Source organism: Homo sapiens, chromosome 6 (genome assembly GCF_000001405.40).
Source record: "Homo sapiens chromosome 6, GRCh38.p14 Primary Assembly".
Taxonomy (NCBI): Eukaryota; Metazoa; Chordata; class Mammalia; order Primates; family Hominidae; genus Homo; species Homo sapiens.
This window is the reverse complement of record NC_000006.12, coordinates 87308507-87322143: the sequence shown is the minus strand read 5'-3', so window position 1 is coordinate 87322143 and position 13637 is coordinate 87308507. Positions and strand designations below refer to the sequence as shown.

The following is a 13637-nucleotide window of genomic DNA, read 5'->3' as shown; positions in this document are numbered from 1 at the left end:
CAGGATGTATGCAGGTGCAGTTGAGACAAGAATAGATATAGGGATGCTGGTTTGCACATACTTTGCTGATGTTTAAGTTTGTTGGGATACACGTGAAAACTGATGTGGTTTGGCTCTGTGTCCCCACCCAAATCTCATATGGAATAATAGCCCCCTTGTGTTGAAGGAGGGGCCTGGTGAGAGGTCACTGAATCATGGGGCCGACTTCCCCCTTGCCATTCCCATGATGGAGTTCTCAGAAGATGTTTGTTTATAAGAGTGTAGCACTTCCCCCTTCACACTCTCTCTCTTTCTCTCTCTCTCCTGCACCACGGTAAGACGTGCTTGTTTCCTCTTCCACCATGATTGTAAGTTTCCTGAGGCCTCTGGAGCCATACCTCCTGTACAGCCTGTGGAACTGTGAGCTAATGAAACCTCTTTTCTTTATAAGTTACCCAGCCTCAGGTGGTTCTTTCTAGCAGTGTGAGAAGAGACTAATACAAAAACCAAAAATAAAATTCTAAGCACCACCATCACCAACCCACCCCTGAAAGGAATGGACCTCTGTCTTGGCCAAGGTAATCTCAAAAAAACCCTGAAAAATGAGTTCAGGCCCTGATGGGAAGGGGTGGGCGGTTGGATATGCCTCATTATACCTTCCTCCCGTTGGAGGTTAGACACAACTGACCAGCATTAACATTAAAACGGAGATCGTAAGACTGGTAAAATATACTGTAGCAATAAGAAAATTCCAACCTGACTCTGGAATAACATCACGTGACACATAGTGGGACCTGAAAGAAATAAAAATATGTTACCCCAAAATATATTTATTTGACTATTTTGAAATGGCCTCGCAAAGCTGTCTCTTGTTGGGGAAAACTTACATTCTATAGAAAATCTCTTTCCCTTACTAGATCTTTTTTTTTTTTTTTTTTGAGATGGAGTGTCGGAGTGTCACTCTGTCACCCAGGCTGGAGTGCAGTGGCATGATCTCGGCTCACTGCAACCTCCACCTCCTGGGTTCAAGCAATTCTCCTGCCTCATCCTCCCGAGTAGCTGGGACTACAGGTGTATGCCACCAAGCCTAGCTAATTTTTGCATTTTTAATAGAGACAGAGTTTCACCATATTGGTCAGGCTGGTCTCGAACTCCTGACCTCAGGCAATCCACCCACCTCGGCCTCCCAAAGTGCTGGGATTACAGGCGTGAGCCACTGTGCCTGGCCCCTTACTAGGTCTTTTCCAGAGAGTCTGACATCTTTTAAGGTCTGATAAGAGACATTCACATCTATTCTTTGAAGCCAGCTACCCGGAGGCTTTATCTACATAAGGAGAACCTTGGCTGCCACAACACCCCCGCTTACCTTAACTCCAGCTGGCTTCACATCTTCAGGCAGAGCTTAACTCTTTCAACTAATTGAAAATGTGAAAAATCTTTGAATTCATCTTTGACCTGGAAGCCCACCCCCACGCTGCTTTGAGATGGGCCAAACCAATGTATACCTTACATGTATTGATACATGTCTTTGCCTGTAACTTCCATTTCTCTAAAATGTATAAAATCAAGCTGTAGCCCGACCACCTTGGGCACATGTTCTCAGGACTGCCTGAGGCTGTGTCACAGGCCATGGTCCTTAACATTGGTGAAATAAACCTCTAAATTGATTGAGACCTATCTCATAGACTTTCTGGTTTACACAAGTTATATTAAAATGAACAGAATAGTTGGAATAGAAGGTACCAATATTTTGGCATGGGTTTATGTAAAGCTTTGGTAAATATGTTTCGAATTTAAAACTTTTTCTCCCAAGCCAAATTAACTTCACATTTGATTTGAGGTTTAATTTTTAAAAATTTTTAATATTTATGTGTATGTATTTATGGGGTACATGAGATATTTTGGTACAAGCATACAATGAATAATAATCACATCAGGGTAAATGGGGTATCCACCACATCGAGGATTTATCATTTATGTTACAAACATTCCAATTATACCCTTAGTTATTTTTAAATGTACAATCAACTATTGCTGACTGTAGTCACCGTGTTGTGCTATCAAATACTAGATCTTATTCATTTTATCTGACTATACTTTTGTACCCGCTAAAAATCCCCATTTCCCACTCCCCCCATCCCCACTACCCTTCCCAGCCTCTGGTAACCATCATTCTACTCTATTTTCATGAGTTCTTTTGTTTTAATTTGTATCTCCCACAAATAAGTGAGAACATGCAAAGTTTGTCTTCCTGTGCCTGGCTTATTTCACTGAAAATAATGTCCTCCGGTTCCATCTATGTGGTTGCAAATTGTTTTTTATGGCTGAATAGTACTCTGTTGTGTATATGTACCACATTTTCTTTATCCATTTATCTGTCGATGGACACTTAGATTGCATCTAAATTGGGTTATTGTGAATAGTGCTGCAGTAAACATGGGAGAGCAGATATCTTTTTGATGTGTTGATTTCCTTTCTTTTAGGTATATACCTGGCTTGAGGTTTAATTTTTAAAAGTTCATTGACAACTGGTATTACAAGGCAATCTTCTGACAAAATAAGTTAAATTTCAATTAAAAAGCTGTTACTGCAGTAGCTAAAAACAATTGGAAGGCTATAAAATATTATTATGTTGCATCCTAAGCAGACCCAAACTTTTTTCTTATCCCTTAGGGTTCTCAGTGATCTGTAACATGTCAAATATCACTATGGAAACAAAGTACTTTTACTGTCATGATCAATAGAAAGTGATCAGATGAAAGAATACAAGAAACATAAGCATGTGTAAGAAAAGAGCACAAGCTGTAGGTAAAGATAACAGAGAAAAGCCTGAAGGCCTTGCCCATTTCATGGATATGAATACAATGTGAATGATAGGACGTGTTTAGTCATTTTTGTTTATAATTCATTCCATTTTATGCTGCTTTTAAGAAATTACTTTGAAGAGTGATGCCAATCTGATTCGGCTTTTGTAATCTTCATTTTGAGCAGGGCCATCAATATTTAATAATATTTCCAGGAGATTTTGTATTTGATGGGATTGCATAAAGCAAAGATTAATCTGTATGAAAACACATTCAAAGGGACCAATGATATCTATTTTAATCTGGGGTTCCCAAAGTGTGCTCTGGGAACAACACTGGTGGTCTGGGAGCCTTCTCAAGGGACCACTGATGCCACTAGCGCTTTTTAAAATTCAGGCAAGAATAGTTGGTTGACAATATTTAATAAAAATCATACATTACTGGTATTTTGTCAAAGCCAGGTCTTTTTTTAAAAAATAATAACATAAATGCTGGCACTTATTTCTTTTCCTACCAGAAAGCCAAGCCAAAGTAGTTGATATGATCAATGTGAGCCAAGGATATCTGACTCCCTTGAATGAATTATTAGCTGACAAATGAAAAAATTACACGTTTTGGTAATTTGAAAAAATCTTCCTAATTCTTCACCCCTCCCTGTGTCCCCACCTTTATCCATGCTCTCCCACTCTGACTCTGGGGGGTCACCCTTGTGATTTATTTTTGCTAATATGATATTAGCAAATGTCACACAAAATAAGCTGGAAAAACACCTGAACTGGTAAACATACTCCAGCTAGCCTGCTGGAGATGAAAAACATACAGAGCAAAGCCAAGTCATCCTAGTCATTCCAACTGAAGCCACTGTAGATTGACCAGACAGGTGTGCAAGCCTTGAGTGAGGTCAGTCAAGCCTGCCCAGATCAGCTGAACTCTGCAGATTCATGAACTTAAATATGTGTATTTTTGTTTGCCACATTGAGGTTCAGTTCGTTGTTGTGCAGAATTATGGTGCCAATAGAAACTGATAATATGCCCTCCATTGTAAATTCCCTGGGATCAAAGAGTATTTGCCTGATAGCTTAAGGAGCAGTCTGTTTTCTAGTGGTGCTTGTAAGAAGGACAAACATCTTGCTATTTTTGAAAACTGTATAGCTGTCTGGCATCACAGGAATGTCTGACCTGGGAAGAAAATGAAATCTATCAAATGGTGTGATATATAAATTAGTAAAAAAAAAAAAAAATAGAATGGGGAACTGATATTATTAGAGGATCACAATTCATTACTCTTTTTCTTCCATATAATTTTAGCAGAACTGTTTTTAATACTTTTCATGTCAGGTCATTTTGTATTTACTTCTCTCACATTTTGAAATATTAGAAATAATAATAATTTATTCTATATTATTTAAAGTCTTAAAGTACCTTAAAAGTGATATGAGATGAAAACATTTTAATTCTAACTGTTCTTCTTTTGAAAAAAGCATAAGTTTATTATCAGTGTAGTTAGGCTCAGGTTAGCAGGAAAATTTTTGGTGCATTCAGTGTGCCACATGCTTTCCTGGGCACCAGGAATTCAAAGATGATTAAGACATAATCTTTGCCCTTAAAACTCTTAAAGATTAGTGAGGGAGGCTGGCCACCATGGCTCACGCCTGTAATCCCAGCACTTTGGGAGGCTGAGGCGGGCAGATCACCTGAGGTCAGGAGTTCAAGACCAGCCTGGCTAAAATGATGAAACCCCATTTCTACTAAAAATACAAAAAATTAACTGGGCATGGTGGCGCGTGCCCGTAATCCCAGCTACTTGGGAGGCTGAGGCAGGAGAATTGCTTGAACCCGGGAGGCGGAGGTTGCAGTGAGCTGAGATCACGCCATTGCACTCCAGCTTGGGCAACAAGAGCGAAACTCCGTCTCAAAAAAAAAAAAAGGAAAAGATTAAAGATTAGTGAGGGAGACAAATTAAAACAGATAATTTCTTGTTGTTTGTTTGTTTGTTTGAGACAGGGTCTTGCTTTGTCGCCCAGGCTAGAGTACAGTGCCGCAATCTTAACTCACTGCAATCTCTGCCTCCCAGGCTCAAGCAATTCTTGTACCTCAGCCTCCTGAGTATCTGGAGTTATAGGCGTGTGCCATCATGCCCGGCTAATTTTTTTTTTTTTTGTATTTTTAGTAGAGACAGGGTCTCACCCTGTTGGCCAGGCTGGTCTTGAACTCCTGATCTAAACTGATCCATCCACCTCAGCCTCCCAAAGTGCTGAGATTACAGGCATGAGCCACCACGCCCAGCCAGATACTTTCAATATAAAGTGATTTGCACAAGATTCTATGGAAGCACAGAGAATTATATGTTGTTTGGCCTGGATATAACACAGAGGATGGTATGTGGCTGATGACTGAGCCCAGAATCACAATCAAAGTGATAAGCAAGGCAAAGAAGTTAGAAAGGATGTTTCAGGTCAGAGGAGACAGAATGAACACAAACCTCAAAGCATGAAGCCATATAGTGTGGTGCGGTGTGTTTCTTATTGCTAAAGAATGGATAATAAAATGGAACATGAGAGAAATGACACTGGAGAAACAGATGGGGCCAGTCCAGGAAGGCTCAGATGCATCCACGTTTAGGGAATGAGTACAGCAGGAGACCACAAAAGGGTTTGAGAAGAAATGGTCAAAACAGAGTGAGGAAGATCAAAAGTGGAGTGTTTTGAAAGCCAAAGGAGTCAAGATGATTAAGAAGATTAATGCCCCAGTGGCTTTGCCACCAGCCAAGCTCCCCTACAAGCTGTTGTCCTCCTTTCTAAAATATACATCTAATCATGTCACTGTTTGGCTTCACACTTCCTGATGGAACACTCTTTCCTACACCTGCCCTTTGCCTCACTCCTACTTATCCTTCACAAGGATAATCAGGGGAGGCATCACTCCCATAGCTCAGCCCTGCTTGGTGTGTAGGAATTGTATTCTCTGGGAGCTGACTTTTGGAGAAGAACTGGAGCTATGCAAGAAAAAGAAAAGGCTAAGAAACAGAAATAATTTTATGAGGAGGGGACTAGAGCAGGACAATCCTGAGCTCTTGCAGAGATTGGGCACATGGATCCAGCAACTTCTACCCCCACCCATTCAAAATATCTAGTGACTAGCATAGGAGTTGATAGGAAAGGCGATCATTTCCTTCTTGCTTAAGTGGGAGGGAAGATATCTGCGCATCAGCTCATGTATACAGAAGAAATTGAGAACAGCAAGTTTTCTTGTTCCTTGGCCAACTGAAAACAAATCTGATCCCCTAAAGGGATGGTGATCAGGAAGAAGCTGAAGAGAGAATTTGTTGAATATAGGGTCTTGAAGACTCAGCACACACCTGTTATTTCAGTTGCAAATGACAGAAACTTGACTGAAACTAACTCAAGTTCAAAAGGAGTTATGTTACCATATGTAATGGGAAGTCTATGGAGGGAACAGATTTCAGCAGTGAGATATGGGACATCCAAACATGTCAACAGGAATGTCTTGTCTCATGTCTCCATTCTGTTTCTTTCTTTCTTTCTTTTTTTTTTTTTTTTTTTTTGAGATAGAGTCTTACTCTGCTGCCCAGGCTAGAGTGCAGTGGTGTGATCTTGGCTCACTGCAACCTCCACCTCCCAGGTTCAAGTGATTCTCATGCCTCAGCCTCCCAAGCAATAGTAACTACAGGCACACCCCACTATGCCCTGCTAATTTTTTTTGGTATGTTTAGTAGAGATGGGGTTTTGCCATGTTGGCCAGGCTGGTCTTGAACTCCTGACCTCAGGTGATCCACCCGCCTTGGCCACCCAACGTTCTGGGATTACAGGTGTGAGCCACCGTACCTGGCCTCTATTCTGTTTCTTAAATACACTCATTTCATATATTGGGCACATCCCTGCTGGCAGCTCCAGGTTTCTATCCTGTTAAAATACATCCAAGTGGAAAGGAAGCCTTCCCTATCACCCATATATCAAATCTCATGGAACAACTCTTTTGGCCTTGTTTGGGTTTGTGCCCTTTTTCAGGACAAATTGCTTTGGACAGGAGGAAAGATATCATTGCTGGACAGGCCAGGGTTAAGGTCACATTATCATAATTGTGGAGGTGCAGTTCCCCACCAGTTGGGTTGGGAAACAGATGCTAGGAAGATGAAATCAGCAGACGCCCACTTCACACAAGGGGTCGGCGGGGAATATGCTCCTGAAAAGCAGCATCCAGAAAACAACTCTTTTCCACTGAGTGGTGCTTTTGCCACATTTTTGTGGAAAAGAGATGCTTTCTTCCAATGGTGGCTAATTAAATGAGGGGGCCAGAGTGGAAAGATAGCTGGGCCTATCTTTGCTCTGAGTACACATGAGAGAGCTATCGTCTCTGAGTGCACAAGAGAGATTCCTGAGTTACCTAAAAAAAGTTTATTATTTCCTGACATCATATGATTTATTTCTTTATTGTTTCTCTTCTCCATTAGAATGTCAGTTCTGTGAAGGCGTGGATGCCCCAGGAAAGTTCCATGGAGCTCCATGCAAGCTCCATTCCTAAATGCGTTAAGTTTTGCTTACAGCTGGATTCCCAGATATATTAAAGAGTTCCAGAAATATTAATTGAAAGAATGTTGAGTAGACTAGGGAGATGTTAAGTAAGGAGGTGGGGTGCCATGGTGAAGTGAAGTAACCAATGCATTGCTTTGAATCCATAGACCCTGAGGGGCCACTTGCCCAGAATGAAGGTGGGAGTGAGATAAAGTCAAAGAGGGCTAAGTGGAAGAGAGTGGAACTGGTCAGGATGGGCCTACAGCCTCTATCCATGTCCTAAAAAATTCCGTAGCTTCTTCCCACAGCACCCAGGGTTACAGAAACAACTTGTCTCAAGGTGCTGAGGCACAGGTCTCTTATTTCTTCATAAACTTCATCCCATAACTGAAATAAAAACACAAAGAAACCCCTAAACTCACCCTTCTTCTTACTTTTCTACCCTTGCCCAAACCTACTTCCCAGAAAGGAGGGAAAAAAGGGGAGCCCTCTGAGATAGAGAGGGGCCCGTGTGAGGCTTTGTTGCAGATCTTTTGTAACTAGCCACACCCTTGGGTAGGGAGGGCTAAGGTCCTAAAGTTTCCAGGGAGAAGCAAATAAGTCAGTGAAATGCCAGTATCAATGTTCTAATGGCCTTATATTTACCCAGATACTAGAAAAGCATGGAAACATTTAGGTTGTACTAGAAATTGCTGCTTACCATACAGTGCCTGTGAAATAAAACAACTTTAATGTAGATATAAAAAGCAGTACCTTATGAAATGTATAGCTATTTAGGGGAGATGTCCCAGAGCTTAACAGATGAACTCACAAGATTTCTTAGTGCTTCTGAAGACTTGTCAATTGGTCCAAAACATCCACATCCCCTCAGCATTATCCTGCATGAGGAGTTCTCAAACTTGAGCATGCATTAGAATCACCTGGAGGATCTTGTTAAAACACAGATTACAAGATCCCATTCTCAGAGCCTCTGATTCTGTAGTCTGGAGTGGGCCTGGGAATTTCCGTTTTTAAAAAGTTCTGAGGTGCTGCTGCTGCTCCTCAAACCCCACTTTCAGAAACGCTGACCTACATGATAAGGTGATTTCTTTCCTTTTCCATTTGCCAAATAAGTCATAATTGCTTTTTATTACATAGTTTCTACTTTGGGGAGAGAGACGTGTGATATTTTAACTCAAAAGAATTCTCTGAAGATTTATATTTCTGACCTAGTGAAGCCTCCAACACAACAGACATAACAACCATTTCAGATGGTTGAGATTTGAATATGATTGGAATTAATAATAAATCTTTATGGATTAGGAATGGGGCAATTTTATTTGAATACAGTGACATTTATCCTGAGAAGGTACTTCACAAGACTTACAAGAAATACAGAGATTTTGGGAAGATTAAAACTCTATTTTTAACTCCATCCTTTTAGGGCATAAAGCAAATAATTGAGTTACTTACATGCATTAGCTATAATAAAGTCCTTTACTGTAATAGTCCTAAAAGGGTGTCCCATAATGCCTCAAATAAAACTGAAAAGTCTTAAGTTCAATAAGTAGTAGGAAGAATTCCTTCTCTTTTATTTTTGTCTATCTTTTTATCCCCTTTCTTCTCCTGTTCCTTGATACATTTGAAAACTTGTGAGGTTTTCCTCAAATCATTTAGAAGTTGTTATACAATAGATGACACACAGGCAGGATTATTTGTAGATTACCGTCATTGTTTTATTCACAGCAGAGCTGTGAATGTGCCAAATTAAGATAACCCAGTGACAAGCTAAGTGCTTTTCTTGATTAATGATAGAAGTTGTTTAAAATGCACAGTGAAAAGACTGAAATCTCCAGGAGAGGACAGTCTCACATGGTAACAGGACTTTTGGGTTTTTCTAATCTGAACAAGATGCTCACCTTATTTCTGTTTCAGATCACTAAACCTCTACCACTCATTCCAAGCAACTAGGAATGCCCTGTCTCTTTCAGCCATGGCTCATAAACATCATATATTACACGTTTTCTTCCTGAAGAAAGTAGAGCTTTGATCAATACAATTTGAATAGGGAGGCGGGTAAAGAGTGTTCTGCCATTTCCCCATGAATGTCTGATAAAATAAGGCAAAGTGGCAGCAGGTATGTAATAACGGAAACTGGGTGAATCAAGGCAAAAGGGATAATTGGCTTGTATACTTGTAAGAGATTCTCTTCTTTTGTTAAAATGTTCTTTAATACTGTTGTTGCATTTATTTTCAACAACATACTTAAGGCATAAACTGGTGCTAAACTTAGAGCTTTGCCTTGACCACCTCCAGTTTTTTTTTTGTTTTTTTTTTTGTAGACAGAGTCTCACTCTGTTGCCCAGGCTAGAGTGCAGTGGTGTCATCTCGGCTCACTGCAACCTCCGCCTCGCGAGTTCAAGCAATTCTTTGCCTCAGCCTCCTGAGTAACTGGGATTACAGGTGCCTGCCAACATGCCTGGCTAATTTTTGTATTTTTAGTAGAGACGGGGTTTCACCATCTTGGCCAGGCTGGTCTTGAACTCTTGACCTCGTGATCCATCCACCTCAGCCTCCCAAAGTGCTGGGATTACAGGTGTGAGCCACTGCACCCGGCCCGACCACCTCCAGTTTTTAAGTAAACTTTTTGTTTAATTGAAGTATAACATATGAATAGAAAAGCATACAAATTCTAAGTCTACTGCTTGATGGATTTTCACAAGTGAACATACTCAGGTAACCAACATCCAAAATAAGAACTGGAATATCACCAGCATCCTAGAATCCCTTATGTCTCCTCCCACTCACTATCCACTCCCTCCCCTGGGAACTGACTTTTTTATTTCTATCACCACATACTAGTTCTTTTTTAGTTTTAGGCTTTACAATTCTTCATACTGATGCATTTATTAGTTCATTATTCATTCCCATTGATGTCTAATATTCCATAGTATTAAGAATCAAGGGTACCTGCATCAGCCTGAACTTAACTATGGGACTGAGAGCTGAGACCACCTGTGTCAATATTATTGCTTTTATTCCCCAAGAAATTCTTGCCAGGAAAAATGTGATTGCAGAACAATAAAGTACTATACTGTTTGTATCAGCAAATTCTGCAAACCAATTTATACAATCAGTTTGCTTACTGAGGTAAACAGCTCACTTAATCAGGACAATAGTTTGCTCTTCATAAAACTCATCTCCAGACTGTCACCTTACTGTGTCCACCAGTCCTAAAATACTGTGTCATGAACTTCACACATTCCTATCAATTCCCCACCTTGAAATACCTGCCTTAACCTCATGAATCCAGAATCCCAAACCCTGTATATATTCCTCTGTGATTTCTCTTTTTAGAGACACTAAGACTGTGTAAGCTTTGCTTGGTCAACAGGTTTTTCTGGTGGTCTTTGTGAGGAGGTTGACAATATGAATATTTCCCAATGTATCTACCCATTCTAATGTTGATGGGCATTTGGGTATTTCCAGTTTGAGGCTATTATGAATAGTGCTGTTGTGAACATTATTGTATTTTGATGCACATATGTATATATTTGGGATTGGAATTGCTAAGTCATTGGTAACCATATGTTCAATTTTAATAGATTCAATAGTTTTTCAAAGTGATTGCACCAATTTATACTCCCAGCAGAAGTGAATGCAAGTTTGTTTCCATATCTTCTCAGCAATACTTAATAGTGTCAGTCTTTTTGGTATTAGCCATTCTGGTGGCTGTGTAGTGGTAGCACATTGTGGTTTAATTTGTATTTCCTTGATGGTTATAATTATTCTCTTTTCATATGCTTATTTTTAAACTTTTTATTTGGAAATAAAGATAGACTTACAAGAAGTTTATTCCTTATTTTCTCTTTTGGCTCCTGCTTTTGGAATCATCTCTAAGAACTCTGCCTATCCCCAGTTTGTGAAGATTTGTTTCTGTGTTTTCTTCTGAAAGTTTTATAGTAATATAATATGTTTTACATCTAGATAGATGATTCATTTTGAGTTAATTCTTATACAAAGTGTGTTTAAGTTAAGATGTTTTGGTTAAGGTTCAATATTTTGGCGATTAGTATCCATTTATATGCTTATTTTCCATTGGGGTATCCTTTTTTACAAAGTACCTGTTTTTTGGCTTTGATTGAGCTTCTCAATTTTTCTTGTTGATTTGTATGAATATTTGGTTTATTTTTTTTTATTTCAATATGTTTTGGGGGAACAGGTGGCTTTTCATTACATGGCTAAGTTCTGCAATGGTGATTTCTGAGATTTTGGTGCTCCCATCACCCAAGCAGTGTACATGGTACCCAATGTGTAGTCTTTCATCCCTCACCCCCCTCCCACACTTGTTTATGTTTTCTTATTAATTTTTATGAATTCTGTATAGGTGCTGGATATAGTTTTCTTGTCAGATACATGTATTGCAAATATCTTCTCCCATCCTCTGATTGCCTTTTTACTCTCTTGATGGTGTCTTCTGATTAACAAGTTCTTAATTTTAATGAAATTCAAGTTATCAATTCCTCGAAACACTGAAATTCAATTTATTAGGCCTTATGATTAGTGCTTTTCATATCATATCTAAGAAATCTTTTCCTACACCCTGGTAATGAAGATATTCTTCTTTGTTATATTCTAAAATCTAGAAACTTTATTATTTTATCTTTCTTGATTACATCTACCATCCTTCTACAGTTGTATTTTGTGTATCGTGTGAGTTAGCAATCAAGATGAATTTTTTTTCCATATGGATTTCCAATTGGCCCAGCATTGTTTATTGAAAAGACCATTTTCTCCCCCATTACACTGCAGCATCACCATAAAAGATTAAGGACTATATAGGAAACCAGCCTGTTGCATGAAAGAGTGATCCATCTTGATGCAAAATTACCATGATGACCAATGTTTGACTCTTGCATACCAAGGTGTTCTGCAGCAAGGTCTTTAAACAATGCTCATAGCACAGACAACCCCTCATAAAGCTGCTTCTCTGACCTCTCCAGTAGTCACAAGTTTCAGCAAGAAAGTCTGAGATATGAGCAGCTGTATGTCTTACCACAAAAGCTTCCTATAGAAAGGATACTTTCTAGAGGGTGGATGCAGGGATTCACTGTCTTACAGCCACCAGAAACATGGTTTCTGTTTTTAAGTCCCTATTAAATATTTTCTTTTTTCTTCTCTGATCAATACATCTCAAAACAGAAGAAAAAAAATCAATATTTTCTTTCTGAGAAACTGGTTTTGTCAGCCTCTTCCTTCAGCCTTTCAGCTCCCTTGGCCTTTGGGGTAGGTTGCATATACCTGCTCACCACGGAAGAGACTGTGTATGTGTGGGTCTGTTTCTGAGCTTTCAGAGAATTGGACTGTGCAATTGTGGGAGCTGGTTGAACAGTCTCTGTGAGGCCGTTGTCTCCATGTGTGATGCTGGAGTGGGAAGTCCACGATGCAGGCAGTCAGGCAGGGAAGACTCTGGAAGGCTGGAACTCAAAAGCACAAGCTGGAAATCCATAAGGAAGAACTGAAACATTTGTCTTGTTGCCTCTGACCTTGGTGACAAGGGTATCCTGCAGAAGCCTGTGCCCTTCATTACAAAGCTAAACACGTACCTGGCCCATGAGTCAGGGAAGATGAAGGAGGATCCAGGAGAATGTAGAGCAATTGCAGGCCCAGCTGCTGCTTCACACCAACAAGGTGAATCAGTGTGACAGCAACAACGTGTGTCAGCCGCCAAGGCTGTGGCTTCTCTTCCAAACCTCCCACATCTCTCCCTGACTGTCCATGCCAATCGGAAACATGCAAGAAAGGGAATTCAGCCCAGCCAGAGGGACACTTCCAGTATTCATTACAGATGATTCATAATATCTTTGTCTTTTTTTGTCAGGAAAAGGAGATGGAGATGTGTTCCCTATAAGATTATTTTAATTGGGTAAATTTAGATTGCAATTCTTTTCTTTCAGCACGTCATATATGTCATTACATTGTTTTTCTGGAATCCTTTATTTTTATTATTTTGTTTCTTTAAAAGTCATGCATTTTTTTTTATCTGGTTGCCTTTAAGGTCTTCTCTGTCTCTGGTTTTCAGTAGTCTTATCACGATATGCCTCAGTAAGTTTTCCTTTGTGTTAATCCTCCTTGGGATTCATAAAGATTCTTGAATATATGTCATGATAATTTTTGCATGATTGAGAAAATTCTTGGCCAATAATCAAAATTATTTCTCCCTATTTTCTCTTTTCTCTCATTTTGGACTCTGAGGATTTATATTTTAAACTTTTCATTATGCCCCAAATGTCTTTTTCTTTTTTGTTAAATACATATTCATCTTATTTTCTCTCAATGCTTC

At 39.6% G+C, this 13637-nt stretch overlaps 1 protein-coding gene across 1 annotated transcript in view; it reads left to right on the top strand.

Moving 5' to 3' along the window:
* GJB7 (gap junction protein beta 7) overlaps positions 1-13637 on the top strand; it is a 46299-nt gene that overhangs the window by 7135 nt on the left and 25527 nt on the right. The window lies entirely within an intron of this gene.